Raw genomic sequence first — 23,700 nt, 5'->3', positions numbered from 1 at the left:
TTGGTAGAGATGGGGTCTTACTATGTAGCCTAGGCTGGGTTTGAATTTTTGGCCTCAAGTGATCTTCCTGCCTTGGCCTCCCAACATGCTGGGATTACAGGCATGAGCCACTGTACTCAGCCCTCAAATTAATTTTTTTTGTAAATTCAACCCAAACAATCAAAACAGACCCATCTGAAGAGATTTTTATTGGGACTGCCTTGATTTGTGGGAGCAGTTTGGAGAATAATTATGATACTAATTTTCTTAATCTATTTTGTCATTATTTAATGTATTTCAACATAATTTTATGCATAATGGTTTTTCACATATTAAAAATTTAATATATACGAATATATATTTTCCAACCATTTGTACTGGGTTGAATAATGTCCCTGCAAAATTTTTCTGCCCAGAACCTTAGAATGTGACTTTATTGAAAATAGGTTCTTTGCAGACCTAGTTAAGATGAGGTTAGACTGGATGAGAGCGGGCTCTAAATGCAATGACTGGTGTCCTTCCATGAAGACAAAGGGAAGAAGGCCATGGGATAATGGAGGCAGACTGGACTGACGCAGCCACAAGCCAAGGAATGCCAAGAATTGCTGACAATTACCAGAAGCCAGGGAGAAGCAAGGAAAGATTCTTGCCCAGATGGTTCAGAGAGCCCATGGCCCTGCCAACACCTTAATTTTAGACTCCAGAACTATGAAAAAACAAATTTCTGTTTTAAGCCACTTAATTTGTGGCAGTTTGTTATGGTATCCCAAGGAAACACACCATTAAAAAAAAGTTTTTGGGTTCTATTATCAGTGGTACCTTTCAGAAAATATATTTCCTCTTCGTTCCCGGTAAAGAGAAACACTACTGATTTTTATTGATTTTTGTGTCTAGAAACCTTGAAACTCTAGAAACTATTATTAATGTTGGCAGTTTAGATTCTTTTGAATCTATGATGTCTCAGAGACATCATATCATGGGAATATAACTGATGCAGGACAAATTGGGGCTTAGCCTGGGAGGGTTCTTGGCTTCCTCCAGGAAGGAATTCAAGGGTGAGCCAGTGGTGGTAGACAGCAAGAGTTATTGATGCAGCAGTGCACAGTAGCAGCACAGGTGGTGTGCTCATAGGCAGTGAGCCCAGAGGAGCTGCTCAGGGCAGTTCTGCAGTCATATTTATGCCCACTTTTAATTACATGCAAATTAAGGGGTAGATGCCAGGTGCGGTGGCTCATGCTTGTAATCCCAGCATTTTGGGAGGCTGAGGTGGGTGGATTGCTTGAGATCAGGAGTTTGAGACCATCCTGGCCAACATGGTGAAACCCTGTCTCTACTGAAATACAAAAATTAGCTGGGTGTGAGGTGGCTCATGCCTATAATCCCAGCTACTAGGGAGGCTGAGGCAGGAGAATTGCTTGAACCCAGGAAGTGGAGGTTGCAGTGAACTGAGATCGTGCCACTGCACTCCAGCTTGGGTGACAGAGGGAGACTCTGTCTCAAAAAATAAAAAAAAAGTCTGGGTGTGGTGGCTCACTCCTGAAATCCCAGCGCTTTGGGAGGCTGAGGTGGGCAGATCATGAGGTCAGAGTTCGAGACCAGACTGGCCAACATAGTGAAACCCCGTTTCTACTAAAAATACAAAAAAATTAGCTGGACATGGTGGCAGGCACCTATAATCCTAGTTACTTGGGAGGCTGAGGCAGGAGAATCGCTCGAACCTGGTTGGCGGAGGTTGCAGTGAGCCGAGATCGCGTCACTGCACGCTAGCCTGGGCGACAGTGCAAGACTCTGTCTCAATAAAAAGAAAAAATAAATAAAGTAATACACTAAAAAAATTAAGGGGTAGATTATGCAGAAAGTTCTAGAAAAGAGGTGGTAACTTCTGTGTCATTGGGTCATCGCCATGGAAAGCGGCTGTAACTTCTGGGGGTTGCCATGGCAATGGTAAACTGATGGCACTGGTGGGCGTGTCTCATGGAGAGGCTTCCAACTCTTCCTTGTTTCAGCTAGTCTCAGTCTGGTCTGGAGTCTAAACCCTGCCTCCAGAGTCGAGTCCCGCCCCCTACCTCATAACGACAATAGTGGTGGTGGTTTTAAAAATACGTCCACATGATAAAAAGGAATTTGAAAAGATTAAAAAAATATGTCCACAATCTTCTTGCTACTCATCTCTTCAGTAGGTGGAGCATAATTCTTCTCTCCTGGAGTATGGGCTGGCTTGCTTCTAACACACAGAATAGGGAGGAAAAGGGAGGAATGGGAAATACATGGTGCCTATGGCCTTTGGGGATCATCAAAGGTCTTGCTCTCTAGCAGAAACTATTTTGCCTCCTTCCCTCTAGGTCCCTGGCTTTTGCCTCAGGGAGACTTTATTATCTATTATCTTCTCAGGCCTTGTATGAAATGTGCCTCAGAGGTTGCCCCCTCCAGGGGCTTTGCAGTTTCTGAAGCCTTCTTCATGCTGGTGCAGGTGCTGGGGCTCAGCACTTCCTTCAGGGGCTGAACAACCCCAAGTTTTAGCAGACTCACCTTGGAATTTCTTTGGCCATATATTTCCTTCAAAACCTTCGGATGACTTTGGGAGACTGAGGCAGGAGGATTGCTTGAGCCCAGGAGTCTGAGACCAGCCTGGGCAACGTAGGGAAACCGTATCTCTCTAAAAAATAAAAATAAAAAAATTAGCCAGGTGAGGTGGTACATGCCTGTGGTCCCAGCTACTGGAGAGGCTGAGGCAGGAGGATCGCTTGAGCCTGGGTGGTTAAGGCTGCAGTGAGCTGTGATCAGACCACTGCACTCCAGCTTGGGCAAAGCAAGACCCCATGTCTCAAAAAAACAAAAGGAAAACAAGAAATAAAAACACAAACAAGGGGGCCGGGCGCGGTGGTTCATGCCTGTAATCCCAGCACTTTGGGAGGCCGAGGCAGGCGGATCACGAGGTCAGGAGATCAAGACCATCTTGGCTAACATGGTGAAACCCCTTCTCTACTAAAATTACAAAAAATTAGCCGGGCGTGGTGGCGGCTGCCTGTAGTCCCAGCTACTCGGGAGGCTGAGGCAGGAGAACGGTGTGAACCCGGGAGGCAGAGCTTGCAGTGAGCCGAGATCATGCCACTGCACTCCAGCCTGGGCGACAATGCGAGACTCCATCTCAAAAAAAAAAAACAAACAAAAAAAACACCACAAACAAGACCCGCTCAGATGCTTCCTGCCTGTTTGCTGTCAGCCAGCCCCAATGTGCAGGCAGCCACAGCCCAAATCTTGTGAAGATGCCGGCATTTTCCTCACTGCGCTCTGTCCTTCCCCTGCTTTCCCAGTGGTGTCCCTGTGGAGCCAGTGTCCTTGACAGGAAGGTGACAGTCATCAGCTGGTGTTTGCCCACGTGACTGGCACTCACTTTCTGAGGAAGGACCTTTACTGAAGATGCTTGAGAAAGGTTTGGGGCCTCAGTCTCATTTCCCTGTAAGATGGCTTCTTTTGGAGCCATCTCCCGTAACTCTTTGGGTTTGGGATGCAGAACCCCTTTCCTGTGAGGCCCCAAATGACCAGCAGTGGTGCCTCTCCAAGCTCATTCATAGAAGCTACTGCAGGAAGCACAGTTGAGTGACAGTCTCCAACTGCCACATCTTTGCCTCCATAGCGATCACACCAAGGCCATGCCTGTCCTCCCTCAAAGAGACTAAATTCAGGACTAAACTTACTAGCCTGTCACTGCTGTTTCTCCCATTGATGAACCAAGGAGAACTCAGCCTAGGACAAGTTTCCAGTGATGTTCTCCACTCCTCTTCACCCCCAAACCTGTTCCTGGGCCTCCAGCATGTGCCTGACTTCTTGGAGGAGCTCTGCCCTCCCCCGACCTTACCCCTGAGAATAGTGCTATTTCATCCTCAGGCCTGTGAGGGAAAAGCCACTCATTTCTATATGTCCCTCGTGTGTCAATCAGAATTTGGGGGCAGTGTTCTCCCAGGCCATGTCCACACTCTACTTCTCCTCCCTCTTGTCCAAAATGGTGCTCCTTGGGAGCACTCCCTGGTCATCTGACTGTCCTCTCCCTCTTCTCACCTCTGTCATCCTCCAATCTCTTTTCACCCCATTGGAGTCCCGTCATTCACTGCAAACTTGGGCACCTGGCTCCTGGCCTTCCCCTCCACCCCAAGCCCTGCCATCGTCCTGAGCGAATTCCATGCTCACACAGCCACCAGCCCCACACCTGGGCCCTCATATCCAAGGAGCTCCTCCACCCTGCTTGGCCATTCACTCCCAAGAGTGACTTGGGGCTTGTTATTGTCTCAGACCTGGCCTACTTAATATCTCTGTGCCTCATTGATAAGACGAGACTAATTTTAATAATGGCATCTGCCCCACTGAGGGGTCGTGAAAGGCTTTTGAGGAATTGTAGGTAACTGGCACATAGTAAATGCTTCACAGGTGTTAAAACAAGAATTGATCTGAGGCCCCAGAAGCACGTAGCTCGCAGGATGTCATCCACAGATACATTTTATTTGACAATCAGAGTTTTTAATATGATAAATTGCTTTCCAATATCAGCCCTCCTATTTTCTGGCCACATCCCATCCTCCAGGTGACACTTTCACTGTAGTCACTAACATGCTGGGATCTCCATTCACTTTACCAGCTACTTTCGCCTATTGCTCTCCTGCTCTTCACCTCCATACTTCCCCACTCAGAGTACATCATGTATTGTTGCAGTGATGTCCTTGTCAAAACCCTAAGCTCTTTTTTTCTTTTTTCACTCCTCTCTGGCAAAAATGCAGTCCTGATGAACGCAGTATCTGCCCCAGGCAGTGGGCAAGTGCTGTAAGGAACCATCACCAACAAGGCTACAGGGAAGCCCAGGGCTTGGGGAAAATCTAGTTTCAGCTGTTAAGAGTTGGTAAAGAAATGTTCTTTGAAGAGGCAAAGAATAATATGGATTAATTTGGGAATAATGGAATGCAGGATTTTGTGAACCATGGTATAGAGTTTGAAGGAGGAAGCAATGGGGATATAAACCAGTAAATAGGTACCACAGAACATTATGGAAATCAGAGACGGGGAAAAGAGAATTGACTCAGAGAGGGTCTAACATATGCTGGGCTGTGTATTAGTCTGTTCTCATGCTGCTATGAAGAAATACCCGAGACTGATAATTTATAAAGGAAAGAGGTTTAATTGACTCCCAGTTCCACATGGCTGGGGAGGCCTCAGGAAACTTACAATCATGGCAGAAGGGGAAGCAAACCTGTCCTTCTTCGTATGGCGGCAGGAAGGAGAAGTGCAGAGCAAAGGGGAAAAAGCCCCTTGTAAAACCATCAGATCTCGTGGAAACTCACTATCACAAGAACAGTATGGGGGTAACCACCCCATGATTCAGTGACCTCCCACCGGGTCACTCCCAGGACAAGATGAGATTTGGGTGGGGACACAGCCAAACCATATCAGGCAGTGACTGAAGCAGGCACTGGATGGATTTTGTAGATTTACCTGGCCACAGTGTTAACCAGGGTAATAAATCCCCATTTATCTCTGGAAGATGGTAGAAACTCAAGCCACTCCATGTTTACCTGCTGCCTGGAAGGGGGAGAATGGCCAGGAGTAGGAGTTTGAACTAGCGCTTTCTTTCACCTTGAAGTCATTAGAAGGCAGAGGAAAGTCAAGAGCTCCACGTGAAAGCCAGAGACAGAAGATAACCTGTTGGACAATGCCTGGGCTAGTGGGAGGGATGTGATCAACGGGCCTCAGGTAGAAGGGAGAACAACCCTTTCATCAAAACACAAGGAATGGAAGAAATAATGAATATCTGTATCAGTCATCTTAGTCTAAGTTGTTATTGTAACAAACAATCCCCAAATCTCAGTGGCTTAAAACAACTAAGGTTTTTCCTTGTTTGTGGTATATACTCATCATAGATTGGTAGGGAACTGTGGTCATTAAGCTCAGCCACCATCTGGAATGTTGCTGGTTCCTGTGCCAGAGGGAAGAGACAGCTCTGCAGGGTGTTGCTTTGGAGGTTCTGGGTTGGATGCAACAGATGTAAGTTTCCTTTGTAGCTCATCGGCCAGAATTAATCACGTGGGCCCACCCAACCCCAAGGGGGCCAGAAAGTGCCATCTTACTCTGTGCCTAGAAGGCAGAGAATTGGAATTTATTTGGTGAACAGCACTAATGACTTCTACATTTTAACCCAGAAAAGCTTCATTGCTCTCTGAGGTTATTTCCAGCTCTGCCATCCTGTAATACCAGGACTTTGGGAGGCCAAGGCAGGTGGATCACTTGAGGCCAGGAATTCAAGACCAGCCTGGCCAACATAGTGAAACCCTGTCTCTACTAAAAATGCCAAAATTAGCAGGGCATGGTGGCACCCACATGTAACCCCAGCTACGCGGGAGGCTGAGGCAGGAGAATTGCTTGAGCCCTGGGAGGCAGAAGTTGCAGTGAGCCAAGATCATGCCACTACACTCCAGCCTGGGCAACAGAGTTAGACCCTGTCTCAATAAATAAATAAACAAATAAATAAATATGGCAACTCCAGCCAGAAAATTTAATGACTGTACAGCCACGTAAGACTGTCTCTCAGAATGCTTCTTACCACATTCTTTGCTTAGAAAATGCAAGATTGGATTGCTCCTCCAATTGCTAGCAAGCCAGGAGTATGAAATTCAGGAGCTGGGGCAATTGGGAATTAGTGGCTGCATTGCAGTTGTGACCAGAATCATAAAAAAGAGGAACTAAGGAGTTACTGGAAAGATTTTAGGACAATAGTTTTCAAACTCTGGCATAAGAATGAACACTATGCAGCCTTAAAAAAAAAAAGAATGCAGATTTAGATGTTAGATAGGAAAAGACTTCCAAGTAAACAAATGAAGGACACGAACAGATTATACAGTGTGCTACCATTAATGTAAAAAACAAAACAAAACAAACAGGTGGCCTGGGCGCAGTGGCTCATGCCTGTATTGCTAGCACTTTGGGAGGCCAAGGTGGGTGGATGGCTTGAGCTCAGGAATTTGAGACCAAAATGGCCAAGATGGCAAACAACTGTCTACAAAAAATACAAAAATTAACCGCGGTGGTGTTCCAGTTACTCAGGAGGCTAAGGTGATCACTTGAGCCCAAGAGTTCAAGACCAGCCTGGACAAATAGCGAAACCCCACCTCCACAAAAAAAAAAAAAAAAAAATACAAAAATTAGCCAGAAATGGTGGTGTATGCCTGGTCCCAGCTACCAGGGAGGCTGAGGTGGGAGGATCACCTGACACCAGGAAGTCAAGGCTGCAGTGAGTGGTCACAACACTGCATTCCAGCCTGTGAGACACAGAGACCCTGTCTCACCAAAAACAAAAAAAAGTGGAAGCCGTTCAAACACATTAGTATTTGTAAGGATGTATAAGAAACTTCTAGTTTCCTGAGAGGGGAACTGGGAAGCTGGGGAGAGATGAAGGATCACTTTCGTGTCATTTATAAATCTTACTCATTGAAAACAATCGACTTCCCGATGCAATGTAGTATCCCAGAACAGAAAAAGGGCCTTAGTGGGGAAACTGGTGAAAGCAGAGAAAAGTCTAGTTGGTAGTGTTGTACCAATGTTACATTTCTTGTTTTGGCAAATGTACGAAATGTAGTTTTCGTGGTTGTTTCCCAGTTCATAATTCTGTCCTATACATTTCTTCTCCCTCCTCTGTGTGGAACTCACACAGAAAACCTTGAACATCTTCCATTGTTTCCTGTGCCTAGCATGCCTCTCCTGCTCTTCCTGACCTCGGAAGCTGTGCTCCTCTTTCAAGGCCAAGCTCTGAAAGAGTTACTTGCTCTGGAAAGCTTTCCTAGACCTCCCCCTCAAGTGTTCTCCTGGGACATTCTATCTTTATTAGTGCTAGGGACACATGGCTTTGTTTGATTTCTACCAACTAGGTTGCCCAGAAAGTGGACTCCAAGATGAAAACTAGATGCACGTTTTTTAGGGATTAACACTTGTGGAAGAGGAGGAATGCAAGGCTGGGACGGGGGAGGAGGTGGGCTGCGTGATGTAATCCTAACAAAAGCCTCAGCAGACCCCACAAGCTCAGAAGCCACCATGTCCCTCAAAGTTGTCCCAAATTGGGGTAAGAGAAATAGCGACCTGAGATTTCCAGCCCATTACTCACTAGATGTAGGCTACCCAGGGAAAAGGGCATGACTTTGGCTAACGCAGCTCTCCTCTGAAAAGGCACTGCCCAGAGGGCTAACCAGCTGAAGGGTGTTTGTCAGCAACACTTCTAGCAGCTGAGGCAGAAAGGCTTCAATCTGGAAGGAGGGTGGGGTATCACATCTCCTCTATGTCATCCCTCACCCTGCAACTGTAATCGCTATATTCCCAGTGCAAGGCCTAGAAAACAATGTTCCAATTGGAAAGACTGAAGGTGCTTTGGCTCTCTGAAGGCAGAGGCCTGGACCACAGGATTACATGTGGTTTCTTCCCACACTAAGAACCAAGTGTGTTTCTTCCTCACCCGGTTCCCAACAGCAGAGAGAGAAAGCTTCCCTTTGATTAGAGACTAAGAGCCTCAGAAACCGTTAAGATGTTCACCCTCCATTTGACAGTGAGAACCATCTGGGAGACAGCAGATTTCATTCTTAAAGGACTAACATTTCTCAATAACCTTTTAGGTCTTTCGTCTTTTCAAGCAAATGAATACTTTTATTAACATGGTAAGTTTTTGTTTGTTTTAACATGGTAGGGTTCTGACCTCAAATATTTGTTAGGTCTGCTACTCAAATGAACTTACAGCTGGACAACGTATGAACCTTGAAGATGCCTCTTCTAGTCCAGTTTAGGGTCCAATGCAGACAGTTCCATACTGTCATCCCCAAGCCCCTCAAGGGCCTTTGCCAATCTTTCATTTTATGCCAAGTCCTCTAAAACGCATCAGGGTATTACATCAACTTGTACAGAATATCAAGATCTTATCTTCTATTTTAGGTTCCATGTCAAATAAAGCTGAGTTAGGTTGTCCAAACAAACTCACCAGACAGGTTACATAAGATAGTGTACCACAACAAATTTAAATTTTGAACAAAACACATCTCTCCTCCTTTGGTCTCACACAGAAATTAAAGTCTCCAAATACAGACAATACTATCCATTCTCCAGCTCTTCTCCAGATTCACGAGTCCCAGCCAGGTCGGCCCATCCACACTCCCCGTTGAAGTCTGGTCCTTTCTTCAGTAGTTGCTGCATGGAGTCGTCTTCCAGAATTAATGCAGCTCCTTCAGCACCTCCAGAGCTGGAGAACTCCAACTGTGAGTCTCATGTGTCACACACAGACCCAAAGTTCCAGGGAGCTATCAGGTCACACAAGAAATAGCAAAGCACCTCAAAAATTTAGAAATAACCACCAAAGCCCGGGAACAAATGTGACTGCTGCAAGAGCTTACAATCTAGGCCCTAATTCCTGTATGTGAGAGCATTTTCAAACAAAATTACTTCCCAAACAAAAACACGTTAACAATCGAAACTCATATTGAGGTCATCAACCACAGACCATAGCAGAAAACGTAGTGTTAAGTGAGACAGAGCATAGACAGGAAAAAAGAGAAAACAAAAGGCTCTCTGGTTTCGGCTTCTCCAGGGTGTCAGCCAATCTCCACCAGTTGACCAGAATCCATTGGCTGGAAACCTAAAGCACAATGGGAAGAAATTCATCATCGAGAGGTTAATCCCAGGCACAACGACCCCCAAACCCTCACGAACGCCACTGTGCAGGACGCCACCTCTTCTGGCCACCACCTGACTCACTCCAGTCTCTAGCAACGTTGACTTGTCCAACGTCTTCCCCGAAAATCCTCTATTTCCACCCCCGCTTGCTGGACGGCCCGGGACCTTGTCCGTTTCTGTTTCCTTGGCGACTCTGAGATTTATGACCCTTCCACTGAACACGCATCACGCCCAAACCCGGCCACTCTGATTATCCCACGCCGCCACCGTCAAAAAACAAAACACGAAGACGGGGCCCAGATCGGCCCTGACCCGAGCACGCCTTTATTCTCCCGCCCCACCCCCGATTCCGGTGCATCTCGATGAAATCATCGCTCTCGAAGAGCGGCCAAGCTGGGGCCGCTCCTCGGCCTGGCGCGGGTGCCCGACTTACCGCCGACCGCGCTCACGACGACTCGCTCTTCTCTATCCGCCGGACCAGCTCCACCAGCATCTCTGCCATCTTCGCAATCTCCTTGGCCTTCTCCTCGGCCTTCTCGCACCTCTTGGCCGCCCGGCCCTCGGCCGCGTCGCCCGGGTTCTGGAGGTGGTTGAGGGCGCTCTCCTCCGAGGCCTCCACCTGCGTTTTGATCTGGATGAGCATATTGTCCATCTCCCACAGCTTGCTCCGGTTCCGCAGGTACGCCCGCCCGTGCTCGCGCGTCAGCGACGCGATGTCCTCGCGCATCTCGTTGATGACCGGGAGCAGAAACTGCTCGAAATCCTCCTCGGGCTCCAGCACCTCCACTTCCTCCGGTTCCGCCAGCTCGACGATGTCCAGGGGCCGCATCTCTTCCCACTGCCTCGGAACCGCAATAGCGATGTCTGTTGGAGAGAGAAAACCGACACTCGCTATGCTTAGCAATAGAGAGCCCGAATATTCCTGAAAACTTTTACCCTTTTTCAACTTTTCTTCTCAGAGAAGCCACGGACAAGCGACTTACGCGCAGAGTAACGGCGAACAAAATGGAGTCCCGGCCGTCAACCAGCGCTCTGCGCGTTGCGGCCCCTTTCACGACACAGCCGGGCCTCTTTACGGTCAGGGGGGCGAGCTGCGGGCGCGCGCACGTCTAGAAAGAGAGGCACCGGCGGCGGCGTCGCGGCCGCACGGACGCGCACGCAGGCACGCGCAGGTACGGGACCGCACGCTCTCGCTCGTTCCTGCTTTCCCGTTACCTCTGTGCGTCACCCCTGTTTTACCCTGTGTTTGGAGGGTGGCCTCTTCTGGGTGTTTCCCTCCGATAGGGCTTCTTGAGCACGCGAGTTTACATTTTTTAAAAAGGCCTCCCGCACTTCCCAGGCGCGGTGGCTCACGCCTGTAATCTCAGCACGTTGGGAGGCGAGGTGGGTGGATGGCTTGAGGTCAGGAATTCGAGACCAGCCTGGCCGACATGGCGAGACCCCGTCTCTACCAAAAATACAAAAATTAGCCGGGCGTCGTGTTGCACGCGTGTAACCCCAGCTGCTTGGGAGGCTGAGACAATCGTTTGAAAACGGGAGGCGGAGGTTGCAGTGAGCCCATATCGCGCCACTGCTCTCCAGCCTGTGCATCAGAGTGAGACTCCGTCGCAAAATAAATAAATAAAATATAAATGAAAATTAAAAAGGGCCTTCCACACTAGAAGAGGAGGATCCTACGTGATAATGCAGCTACCCCAGGTGGACGCTTAAAGCCCCTTCCTTTCACGCAGGGGGACCTGAGTCCCCTCAGCCGTTTTATTTACTTTTTTTTTTTTTTTTTTTGGAGACAGAGTCTGGCTCTATCGCCCAGGCTGGAGTGCAGTGGCACGATCTCGGCTCACTGCAAACTCCACCTCCGGGGTTCACACCATTCTCCTGCCTCAGCCTCGCGAGTAGCTGGGACTACAGGCGCCTGCCACCGCACCCGGCTAATTTTTTGTATTTTTAGTAGAGACGGGGTTTCACCGTGTTAGCCAGGATGGTCTCGATCTCCTGACCTCGTGATCCATCCACCTCGGCCTCCCAAAGTGCTGGGATTACAGGCGTAAGCCACCGTGCCGGGCCTTATTTACTTATTATTATTTAAAAAGTTTTTTTTTTTTATTGAGGCAGGGTCTCGGTCTGTCGCCCAGGCTGGAGTCCAGTGGTGGGATCATGGCTCACTGCAGCCTTGATCTTCTGGCCTCAAGTGATCCTTCCACTTCGGGCCTCCCAAAGTGCAGAGATTACAGGCATGAGCCGTGCGCCTGGCCCTTTCTGCCTTTTTAAAGAGTAGTTTTCCTTCTTCCTTGGATGACAGTCAGAAGGGTCTGGGTGTCTTTTCACCAAACCGGCCTCCCCACACCCCAAGGTGGAGCCTGGCTGCTCCGTCCTGAGGCCCCAGCAGACCCATGTTCAGTGTGTGGTGCAAGGCGCTGTCCAGAGCCTCTGAGCCCTTCCACTGGATCCTAGGCTCTTTGGGGTCTTAGCTCTGTGGCCTTAATGCCCTAACGCCCTGGGCAGAGCTTGGCGCATATTGGTAAATTTGCCTTAACATCCACTCAACACAGAATGAGGAGAGATACGTTAATTTCCTAGCTTGTTGTCCCATTCCCAAACATCAATAAACTTTTCAGAAATCCAGCTTACATAAATCCCATGGATTTGGCTTCCATTTTCAAGGTAAAGGGACACATCACAGTTTTGACTACAGCAGAATTAAGGATTCAGAGAAACGTAAGTATATGTTTTGTTTTGACTTTTCTCAGGTTCTTAATATTTTGGTTGCTCTTGTAAAAACCCAACTTTGGGGCTTGTGTGAAAGGAAAATAAATCTTGGGACCCCATAATCACTAAACCAAAGGGGACAGTCAAGCTGGGAACTGCATCAGGCAAACCTGCCTCCCATTCTATTCCTAAAAAAGATAGCTACTAAGATTAAAAAGCTACCTACCTCCCTCACAAGGAAATTCCTTGTGGACAAATGACAGAACTCGGAGCCACCCATCTGCTCACTGAGATAGATGCATCTCTGACTGCCTCCTTTGGAAAGGCCAATCAGAAACTCAAAAGAATGCAACTGTTTGTCTCTTATCTACCTATTAACTGAAAGCCCCTGCCCTGCTTCAAGTTGTCTGGCCTGTCTGGACCAAACCAATGTACATCTTACATATATTGATTGATGTCCCATGTCTCCCTAAAATGTATAAAACTAAGCTGTACCCCAACCACCTTGGGCACATGTCATCAGGACCTCCTGAGGCCATGTCATGGGTGTGTGTCCTTAACCTTGGCAAAATAAACTTTCTTTTTTTTTTTCACATTTCTTTCATTTTTTTTATTATTATTATACTTTAAGTTTTAGGGTACATGTGCACAATGTGCTGGTTAGTTACATATGTATACATGTGCCATTCTGGTGTGCTACACCCATTAACTCGTCATTTAGCATTAGGTATATCTCCTAATGCTATGCCTCCCCCCTCCCCCCACCCCACAACAGTCCCCAGAGTGTGATGTTCCCCTTCCCGTGTCCATGTGTTCTCATTTTCAATTCCCATCTATGAGTGAGAACATGCGGTGTTTAGTTTTTTGTCCTTGCGATAGTTTACTGAGAATGATGATTTCCAATTTCATCCATGTCCCTACAAAGGACATGAACTCATCATTTTTTATGGCTGCATAGTATTCCATGGTGTATATGTGCCACATTTTCTTAATCCTGTCTATCATTGTTGGACATTTGGGTTGGTTCCAAGTCTTTGCTATTGTGAATAGTGCCGCAATAAACATACGTGTGCATGTGTCTTTATAGCAGCATGATTTATAGTCCTTTGGGTATATACCCAGTAATGGGATGGCTGGGTGAAATGGTATTTCTAGTTCTAGATCCCTGAGGAATCGCCACACTGACTTTCACAATGGTTGAACTAGTTTACAGTCCCACCAACAGTGTAAAAGTGTTCCTATTTCTCCACATCCTCTCCAGCACCTGTTGTTTCCTGACTTTTTAATGATTGCCATTCTAGCTGGTGTGAGATGGTATCTCATTGTGGTTTTGATTTGCATTTCTCTGATGGCCAGTGATGGTGAGCATTTTTTCATGTGTCTTTTGGCTGCATAAATGTCTTCTTTTGAGAAGTGTCTGTTCATATCCTTCTCCCACTTTTTGATGGGGTTGTTTGTTTTTTTCTCATAAATGTGTTTGAGTTCATTGTAGATTCTGGATATTAGCCCTTTGTCAGATGAGTAGGTTGCGAAAATTTTCTCCCATTTTGTAGGTTGCCTGTTCACTCTGATGGTAGTTTCTTTTGCTGTGCAGAAGCTCTTTAGTTTAATTAGATCCCATTTGTCAATTTTGGCTTTAGTTGCCATTGCTTTTGGTGTTTTAGACATGAAGTCCTTGCCCATGCCTATGTCCTGAATGGTAATGCCTAGGTTTTCTTCTAGGGTTTTTATGGTTTTAGGTCTAACGTTTAAGTCTTTAATCCATCTTGAATTAATTTTTGTGTAAGGTGTAAGGAAGGGATCCAGTTTCAGCTTTCTCCATATGGCTAGCCAGTTTTCCCAGCACCATTTATTAAATAGGGAATCCTTTCCCCATTGCTTGTTTTTCTCAGGTTTGTCAAAGATCAGATAGTTGTAGATGTGCGGCGTTATTTTTGAGGGCTCTGTTCTGTTCCATTGATCTATATCTCTGTTTTGGTACCAGTACCATGCTGTTTTGGTTACTGTAGCCTTGTAGTATAGTTTGAAGTCAGGTAGCGTGATGCCTCCAGCTTTGTTCTTTTGGCTTAGGATTGACTTGGCAATGCGGGCTCTTTTTTGGTTCCATATGAACTTTAAAGTAGTTTTTTTCCAATTCTGTGAAGAAAGTCATTGGTAGCTTGATGGGGATGGCATTGAATGTATAAATTACCTTGGGCAGTATGGCCATTTTCACGATATTGATTCTTCCTACCCATGAGCATGGAATGTTCTTCCATTTGTTTGTATCCTCTTTTGTTTCATTGAGCAGTGGTTTGTAGTTCTCCTTGAAGAGGTCCTTCACGTCCCTTGTAAGTTGGATTCCTAAGTATTTTATTCTCTTTGAAGCAATTGTGAATGGGAGTTCACTCATGATTTGGCTCTCCGTTTGTCTGTTATCGGTGTATAAGAATGCTTGTGATTTTTGTACATTGATTTTGTATCTTGAGACTTTGCTGAAGTTGCTTATCAGCTTAAGGAGATTTTGGGCTGAGACAATGGGGTTTTCTGGATATACAATCATGTCATCTGCAAACAGGGACAATTTGACTTCCTCTTTTCCTAATTGAATACCCTTTATTTCCTTCTCCTGCCTAATTGCCCTGGCCAGAACTTCCAACACTATGTTGAATAGGAGTGGTGAGAGAGGGCATCCCTGTCTTGTGCCAGTTTTCAAAGGGAATGCTTCCAGTTTTTGCCCATTCATTATGATATTGGCTGTGGGTTTGTCATAGATAGCTCTTATTATTTTGAGATACGTCCCATCAATACCGAATTTATTGCGAGTTTTAGCATGAAGGGTTGTTGAACTTTGTCAAAGGCCTTTTCTGCATCTATTGAGATAATCATGTGGTTTTTGTCTTTAGTTCTGTTTATATGCTGGATTACATTTATTGATTTGCGTATAATAAACTTTCTTAATTGACTGATGCATGTCTTAGATATTTGGGGTTCACACTTGACATATCGGAGACAGCTAGCTCATACATTTTTTATATGAATAAAAATAAGTGACTCAAACAAAAATGAGATACTACTAAGCACCTATTAGAATAGTCAAAATCCAGAACACCTACAACACCAAATGCTGTTGAGGACTTGAATCAACAGGAACTTTTATTCCTTGCTCGTGAGAATGCAAAATTATACTGCCATTTTGGAAGACAGTTTGGTAGTTTCTTACAAAACTAAGCCATATTCTTACAATAGGATCCAGCAATCACATTCCTTGGTATTTATCCAAATGAGTTGGAAACTTAGGCTCGCACAGAAATCTGCAGGTGGACGTGTCTACCAGCTTTAACTGTAGTTGGCAAAACTTGGAAGCAATCTAGATGTCCTTCCATAGGTGAATGGATACAAAAACTGTGGTACATCCAGACAGTGGAATATTAATCAGCATTAAAAAGAAATGTGTCATCAAGCCATGAAAAGACATGGAGGAAACTAAAATGCATATTATTTAAGTGAAGTCAATCTGAAAAGACTCCATATTGTATACTTCCAACTGTATGACATTCTAGGAAAGGTAAAACTTTGGAGATGGTAAAAAGATCTGAGTGGATTGGGAGGGATGAATGGGGGGAGCCACGGGATTTTTACGGCAGTGGTGAAACTACTCTGTATGATACCATAATGGTAGACACATGTCGTTATCCATTCATCCAAACCCATAGAATGTACAGCACCAAGAGTGAGCACTTAGGTAAACTAAGGACTTCAGGTGATTATGATGCATTAATGTGGATGCATCAGTTGCAACAAACTTACCGCTGTGTGGGAGATGTTGATGGGAAGGGGAGGGTATGCAGGTTGGGGAACAGATGTTGTATGGGAGGTCTCTATACTTTCTGCTGTGAACCCAAAACTGCTTTAAACTGCTATTTAAACGGGAGGAAATAAACCCATCAAAAAACCAAATGGCTCCCGAAAGGTGGATGAGTTCAAAAACAGCACCTCTTCCCTGGGGTGAGGTTAGATTGGGCCCCACTCCTCCAGGTGTTCTTGTGCAGGGCAGAAATGCCAGGTGCACAACATGCATCCAGGGACTGATGAGCTAGCGTTTCTTTGTTTTCTCTTTTATTTATTTCTTTCGAATTGCTTTTTCTTTTTTTTTTGAAACAGAGTTTCACTCTGTCGCCCAGGTTGGAGTGCGGTGGTGCGATCTCGGCTTAGTGCAACCTCTGCCTCCCGGGTTCAAGCAGTTCTTCTGCTTCAGCCTCCTGTAGCTGGGATTACAGGCACCCACCACCACACCCAGCTAATTTTTTTATTTTTAGTAGAGATGGGGTTTTGCCATGTTGGCCTGGCTGGTCTTGAACTCCTGACCTCAAGCAATCCACCTGCCTTGGCCTCCCAAATTGTTGGGATTACAGGAGTGAGCCACCATGCCCAGCCTCTTTCATTAATTTCTGTTCTTATCTTTATTATCTCCTTTCTACTTTCTTTGATTTATTCTGTGCTTTTTAAAAATTTTCTTAGGTGAAACTCAACTCATTAATGGGTTTTTTTTTTCTAACATAGCATTTAAGATCTTAAATTCCCATCAAGCATGACTTTACTTGCATCACACAGCTTTTGATATTGGCATTTTCATTATTTAGTTCTAAGTGTACTTTTATTCCAATTATGATTTCTTGATCCATAAATTATTAGAACTGTGCTTTGGCCAGGCGCAGTGGATCATGCCCGTCATCTCAGCACTTTGGGAGGCCGAGGCAGGCAGATCACAGGAGTTTGAGGCCAGCTTGGCCAACATGGCGAAACTCTGTCTCTACTAAAAATACAAAAATTAGCCAGGCGTGGTGATGGGCACCTGTCATCCCAGCTACTTGGGAGGCTGAGGCAGGAGAATCGCTTGAACCCAGGAGGTGGAGGTTGCAATGAGCCGAGATCGTGCCACTGCGCTCCAGCCTGGGCAACAAGAGCGAAACTCTGTCTCAAATGAACAAAAAACCAAAAACCAGAAAAAAAACCCAAAACTGTGTTTTAAAAATTTCAACCACATTAGAGCTGTTTATGCTCTTCTATTACTGATGTCTAACTTAATTGTATTCTTCTTAGAGATGGAGTTCGGTTTGATAGTGATTCTCTGAAATTTGTAAAAATTTCGGCCTGGGCAATTGCAGCACACTCTGTGTGTGTGCTTGAGAAGAGTGAGCATTCTGTAAGGCTGGGACCAGGACTTTATGCACATCCACCAACTCCCGCCTCCCCCAATGTTGCAATAGCTTCCTGTTTTTGCCTCATTCACCTATAGTGCAATCTCTATGTAGATTCCATTTCTTTGGTGCATTGCAGAGTTTGTCTGGATTCATTTTTCTTTCTCTTGAGTGAATTATTTATAAATTTAGAGATTCTTTAGAAATTGTTGAAGTCAAAGATGCAATTTTGCAAACCAGTTTGACTGTGGGCAGCCCCAGGGCATCATTAGCTGTAGCCTGAGAACAAACACAGGTGCAAACAAAACCAGGGCGTTTCAGCTGGTAAATGCTGCCATGAGGCAGAACTTGCTTTTCCCCAGGCTGGAAATTGGAGAACAGTTTGTCCTGGACCAAGTGATGAAAGGCAGGGCGACATGGGGGAAGAATTGGAACTCCCAGTCCTATGGCTCAGCTGTAAATTCTGCAGAGTAGAGCAGAGAAGGGATTGTTTTGTTCCCTCTTGGGAGAGGACGTGATGCTGAGGGCCCAGTGTGAGAGGCTTTGGGCACAGAGCGACCTTTAATGATTCCCAGAGGCAGCACAGCCCCTGGACACCTGGGCGGCCTCCAGGGAAGGATTAGAGCTGCCTGCACATGTGTAGTCCTAGTGAGACGGCAGGAGGCGGGACTCTGGAGACAGGGCTCAGACATCAGACCAGTCTGAGGACTAGCTAAACAGGGGAAGAGGTAAAAGCACCTCTACAGAATCCATGCCCACTGACAACACCCGGACATTACTGCCACTTTCCATGACAACAGCCTTATGACCCAGAAGTTACCACCCTATTTCTAGAAATTTCTGTATAATCTCCCCCCTTAATTTTCACATAATTAAAAGTGGGTATAGGCCGGGCATGGTGGCTCATACTTGTAATTCCAGCACTTTGGGAGGCCGAGGCGGGCGGATCACCTGAGGTCAGGAGTTTGAGACCAGCCTGGCCAGCATGGCGAAAACCCATCTCTACTAAAAATAACAAAAATTAGCTGGGTGTGGTGACACGTGCCTGTAATTCCAGCTACTGGGGAGGCTGAGGCAGGAGAATAGCTTGAACTCAGGAGGTGGAGGTTGCACTGAGCTGAGATTGTGCCACTGCATTCCAGCCTGGGTGACAGAGTGAAAGTCTGCCCGGAAAAAAAAAAGCAGGTATAAATATGACTGTGGAACTGCCTCTGAGTTGCTACTCTGGGCACATTGGCTATGGGCAGCCCTGCTCTGCCAATGAGTGATACCTCTGCTGCTGCTGTACTCTGCCGCTTCAATAAAAGTTGCTAACACCACCGGCTTGCCCTGAAATTCTTTTCTGGGTAAAGCCAAGAACCCTCCTGGGCTCAGCCCCAATTTTGGGACTCACCTGTCCCTACTAGGGGCACCTGTTCAACATTGCTGGTCCTGGGAGCAGATGCAGAGGCTGAGCTGTGCCACCGCCTGAGATGGGGAGAAGCCTGGTGCTATGGACCGAATGTTTGTGTCCCCTGCAAGTTCTTATGTTGAGATCCTAACCACTAATGAGATGGTATTTGGAGATGAGGCCTTTGGGTGGTGATTAGGGTTAGATTTGGTCATGAGGGTGGGGTACCTATCACAGGATTAGTGCCTTGTAAGAAAAGATGCAAGAGGTCTTACTCTCTACTTTCTGCCATGTGAGGCTACGACAAGAAGACTGTTACTGGCCAGGTCCAGGTCCGTTCTGCCCATGTGCAGTAAATCAATCACTATGACATGGGTTCTGCAAAAGAAAAGATACTTATTCTCAAGGGCACCAGGTGAAGATGTGGGAAAACAGCTCTCAAATCCACTTCTCTGAAAATAAGGCTTAGGGATATTTATGGGTTAGAGAAGTGGGGTGGTTTAAGTCTTGGGGAAAGGTGATTGGCAGTGGGGAAAAATAAAGTAACAGATTCATTTTGCACAAGTGTAGTCAGGGTTCATGACATTTCATAGGACCTATGTACAGAAAATGGTGGTGTTAGCATGATCTGAGGGTGGAGTATTTGGCCCTCTGATGTCCAAAGGCCACCTCTCAGGCACTTGCGCAGGCCCAGTTGAAGAGTTGGTGGTCTCAGCTGGTTTGAACATGACAGGAGCTGGCCCAAGTTCCTGAAAAATAACTGAAGTAACCATTACCATGGTGACCTATAAATGCTATCTATAAAGTAGCCAGTAAAGGTCAGGTGCAGTGGCTCATGCCTGTAACCCCAGCACTTTGGGGGACCAAGGTGGGAGGTTTGCTTGAGCTCAGAAGTTTGAGGCTTCAGTGAGCTATGAACATACCACTGCACTCCAGCCTAGGCAACAGAGTGAGATCCTGTTTCTTAAAAAGTAAAATAAAAAATACAGTAGTCAGTAAAGGTTTAAGTTTTAGAATTCAGTGATGCATACTTCAGCTACTGTGGCCTTCAGCTTCATGGAAAAAGGAAGAAAAAATAACAAAAAGCAAGTGACCCAAAGCAAGCAGGGTAAGCAGATCTCATCAAATTAACCACTCAGTTTAAAGATGGCCATTTGCAAACCAGGAAGACAGTCCTCACCAGCCTCCAGATCTGGTAGCATCTTACCCTTGGACTTTCTGGGCTCAAGAACTATGAGAAATAAATGTTTGTTGTCTAAGCCATCCAGTCTGGCGTAATTTGTTATATCAGCCTGAAGAGCCTAATAGCTGGTGTCCGTCCCTAGGGAAGTCATAAGCAGACTGGCTTCCTCTCCTTTGCCCTTTGCTTGCTGTGGGCCTGAAGTGTCTAAACTGCCATGCTTCCTCCACTTTCTGTTTGCTGCTTCTCCAGAGACTTGAATAGCTTGACAAAACCAAAGCCTGAAGTTATAAATGGATGGGAAGAATGGGAATGTACACATGGTCCAAAGATTTTATCTTGCTATGGGAGAAAGAGGAAGGAGAGTGGGCAACAAAGCCATCTTTGTGGTGGTGAAGGATGATGATTATTTTATTTTGTTATTCCAGAAAGGAAATAGAGGCTTATTTGTAATTATTATGCCTAAAACAATCCAGAACAAAACTACTAAAAAAATTGAAAAGACTAGTAGAACTTTCAAAGTAATGAGGAGAAAAAAGAGAATAAAATAGGACTCTGGAAAATTGAAAAGAAAAGGGAAAATGAGGAGAGAAAACAATGAAGTAAAATGCACTATAAATAGAAAAGGGAACAAATATTTAATAAAATCCAATCATGGCTGGGCACGGTGGCTCACGCCTGTAATCCTAGCACTTTGGGAGGCCGAGGCGGGCAGATCACGAGGTCAGGAGATCGAGACCATCCTGGCTAACATGGTGAAACCCCATCTCTACTAAAAATACCAAAAATTAGCCGGGTGTTGTGGCAGGTGCCTCTAGTCCCAGCTACTTGGGAGACTGAGGCAGGAGAATGGCATGAACCCTGGAGGTGGAGCTTGCCATGAGCCGAGATGGTGCCACTGCACTCCAGCCTGGACAACAGAGCGAGACTCCGTCTCAAAAAAAAAAAAAAAAAAAAAACACGAAAAAAACAAACAAAAAGAACCTAAAATCAAGGTATGTGCTATATATAAGAAACACACCTATAATGAAGTGACAAGGAATGTATAAAAATTAAGGAATAAAGCACAATTTAAGGTTAAAATACGAAACAAGAGGAGCATTGTGTAATGATAAATATGACTTACAAAGAAGTTATATATTTCAGTTATCTAGTGCTGTGTTCATGACACCCTAAATTTTTTTCTTGAGACAGGTCTAAGTCTGTTGCCCAGGCTGGAGTGGAATGCCATGATCATGGCTCACTGCAGCCTTGAACTCCCAGGCTCAAGTGATCCTCCCACCTCAGCATCCTGAGCATCTGGGACTACAGGTGTGCACCACCATGTCTGCCTAATTTTTTTTTTTTTTTTTAAGAGACAAGGTCCCACCATGTTGCCCAGGCTAGTCTTGAACTCCCGGGCTCAAGTGATCCTCCCACATTAGCCTCCCAAAGTGTTGGGATTACACGTGTGAGCCACCACACCTGGCCCAAATCTTATGGTACTTAGCACCATAACAATCATTTGTCACAATTCTGTGGGTTAGGAGTTCGGGCAGGCCTCAGCTGGTTGGTTCTTCTGCTTCATGTATAGTTTATCACCTAGAGTCACTCACTCTGCTGGGTTGAGCTGCTACCTGGAATGGCTGAAAAACCCAAAAAGGTCTCACTCACATGTCTGGGGTCTTAGCTGGGGTGTTGGAATGGTCAGAGGCATTCTCTTTCATTACCTTAGTGAGAAGGATTCATATGCTTCCTTTGGATGTAAGGAAAGCTGGGGAATGTGGACCCTGTCTGGGAAGCCACTTCTCAGCTAAAACTGTCATTTATATCATGGAGGGGAAGAATGGATGCCAGCAGAAAGCTAACTAGCCCTGCCACAACCAAAAACATCCTTGTATTGTTTAAGCCAGTTTGAGCTAAGTACAGTCTGGATTATATAAAAAGAGCTGTTAGATACAAGATGTGAATTTGGACTTGTTTTATCTTTTTCCATTTATATATTTCACATTTTTGCATTTTTCTTTTAAATTTTTTAATATTTTTTGGTGACAATAACATATATATAACATTGTTTATATTCTCTTATATACATGTGCATTTACCATGTATATCATATATAAGAGAATTGAGTAGAAACATTTTATATATATATATGTGTATACAATATAGTTTCATCTATGAAAGAAACTCACTGTTAACAATCAACTAAGTCTGGAAATAAAACCATGCCACACCTAGAAATCCAGGTGTGTTCCTTCTTAACTCAGATCTCCCTCGCCCCACTGGAGGTAACCCCTCTTGTGACTTCTAGTTTCCTTTCCCTTCCCTTCCCTTCACTTCCTTTCCTTTCCCTTCCCTTCCCTTTCCTCCCCTCCCTTCCCCTCCCTTCTCAGCCCCTCCCTGCTCCTTCCCTCCCTTTGCTTCTCTTCTTTCTTTTCTTTTTTTTTTTTTGAAACAGGGTCTTTCTCTGTCACCCAGACTGGAGTGCAGTGGCATGATCTCAGCTCACTGCAGCCTCAACCTCCCAGGCTCAAGCGATCCTCCTGCCTCAACCTCCTGAGTAGCTGGGACTACAGACATGTGCCACCACCACCTGTTGTTTATTTTTTTTTTGTAGAGATGGGGTTTTGCCATGTTGCTTAGGCTGGTCTTGAACTCCTGGGCTCAAGTGATCTGCCACCTTAGCCTCCCAAAGTGCTAAAATTACAGGACAGAGTCACTGTACCCAGCCTTGGCCAGTCATTTCTTCACTTTCTTTGTTGTTTTATCCACTAGGAATGCAATCATAAAGAATACGGTATAGTCTTTCCCACTTTTGAACTTTATGTAAATGGAATCATAGTTATTCATTTGTATATTGCTGCTTCTGCTCAATATAGTCTATCTATCATCTATCTAACATCTATCTATCATCTATCTATCTATCATCTATCACCTCTGTCTCTCTATCTGAGATTCACCTGTATTGATGCAGGTAAGGATAGTTCACTCATTTTGATTGCTCTATGGCAGTGAGTGTTAAAATTGAGTGTGCATCAGAAAAACCCAGGAAATTTGTTAAAACACATGTTCCAGGGCCCATCCCTACAGTTTCTGATTTATTTGATCTGGGATAAGGCCTGAGACTTTGTGTTTCTAACAACTCCCCAGGTGATGCTGGCACTACTGGTGTGGGGACCGCACTTTGAGACCTGCTGTTCTGTAGTATTCTCTTGTACAAATAAACCAGCCTCTATCCAAGCACTGGTAAGGGGCCTATGAATGGTTTTCATTTACAGCTATCATGAACAATGCCACTGAACAGTCTTACATATTTTTGTGCACACGAACATGATTCTTTTCTTTTTTTTTTTTTTGAGATGGAGTCTCACTCTGTCACCCAAGCTGGAGTGCCATGGTGCGTTCTCTCTGCTCACTGCAACCTCTGCCTCCCAGGTTCAAGCAGTTCTCTTGCCTCAGCCTCCCGAGTAACTGGGGCTACAGGCATGCACCATTACACCCAACTAATTTTTTATTTTATTATTTATTTATTTATTTGTTTATTTTTTGAGACAGAGTCTTGCTCTTTCGCCCAGGCTGGAGTGCAGTGGCGC

The 23,700-nt window shown here is 45.5% G+C and overlaps 1 protein-coding gene and 1 long non-coding RNA gene across 3 annotated transcripts, besides 2 other annotated features; one reads left to right on the top strand and one right to left on the bottom strand.

Moving 5' to 3' along the window:
* Positions 1-8,631: 8,631 nt before the first annotated feature.
* MRFAP1 (Morf4 family associated protein 1) lies at positions 8,632-10,676 on the bottom strand. 2 transcript variants are annotated; one of them, NM_001272053.2, is made up of 3 exons: positions 10,653-10,676; positions 10,103-10,533; positions 8,632-9,631 (listed from the first exon to the last, which is right to left on the bottom strand). In NM_001272053.2, the coding sequence occupies exon 2, from the start codon at positions 10,496-10,498 to the stop codon at positions 10,115-10,117; it is 384 nt and encodes a 127-aa protein (NP_001258982.1). In that variant the 5' UTR covers positions 10,499-10,533; positions 10,653-10,676; the 3' UTR covers positions 8,632-9,631; positions 10,103-10,114. The 2 variants fall into 2 exon arrangements, with proteins under 2 accessions (NP_001258982.1, NP_150638.1); NM_033296.3 differs by having other exon boundaries at positions 10,103-10,676.
* Positions 9,639-9,708: a silencer, noted in NCBI's record as "silent region_15233". NCBI's record gives its function as "represses an Ori minimal core promoter by ATAC-STARR-seq in GM12878 lymphoblastoid cells {active_cell/tissue: GM12878}" and the evidence as "EXISTENCE:reporter gene assay evidence [ECO:0000049][PMID:35858748]".
* Positions 10,677-10,739: 63 nt separating the features above from the next.
* Positions 10,740-20,208, top strand: LOC124900653 (uncharacterized). The gene is made up of 2 exons (XR_007058007.1): positions 10,740-10,841; positions 12,331-20,208. It is a non-coding gene; the product is annotated as an uncharacterized LOC124900653 (long non-coding RNA).
* Positions 11,682-12,476: an enhancer, noted in NCBI's record as "H3K4me1 hESC enhancer chr4:6640612-6641406 (GRCh37/hg19 assembly coordinates)". NCBI's record gives its function as "activates a minimal SCP1, AML or CMV promoter by ChIP-STARR-seq in naive and primed H9 embryonic stem cells {active_cell/tissue: H9 hESC(naive and primed)}" and the evidence as "EXISTENCE:reporter gene assay evidence [ECO:0000049][PMID:30033119]".
* Positions 20,209-23,700: the final 3,492 nt, after the last annotated feature.

Source organism: Homo sapiens, chromosome 4 (assembly GCF_000001405.40).
Source record: "Homo sapiens chromosome 4, GRCh38.p14 Primary Assembly".
In the NCBI taxonomy this organism is placed as follows: Eukaryota; Metazoa; Chordata; class Mammalia; order Primates; family Hominidae; genus Homo; species Homo sapiens.
Note: the sequence above shows the minus strand (reverse complement) of the source record. Positions and strands in the feature narration are given on the sequence as shown.

Bases quoted from the DNA above. Each gene is read 5' to 3' on its own strand.
- MRFAP1 (NM_033296.3), bottom strand. From the start codon at position 10,498: ATGCGGCCCCTGGACATCGTCGAGCTGGCGGAACCGGAGGAAGTGGAG.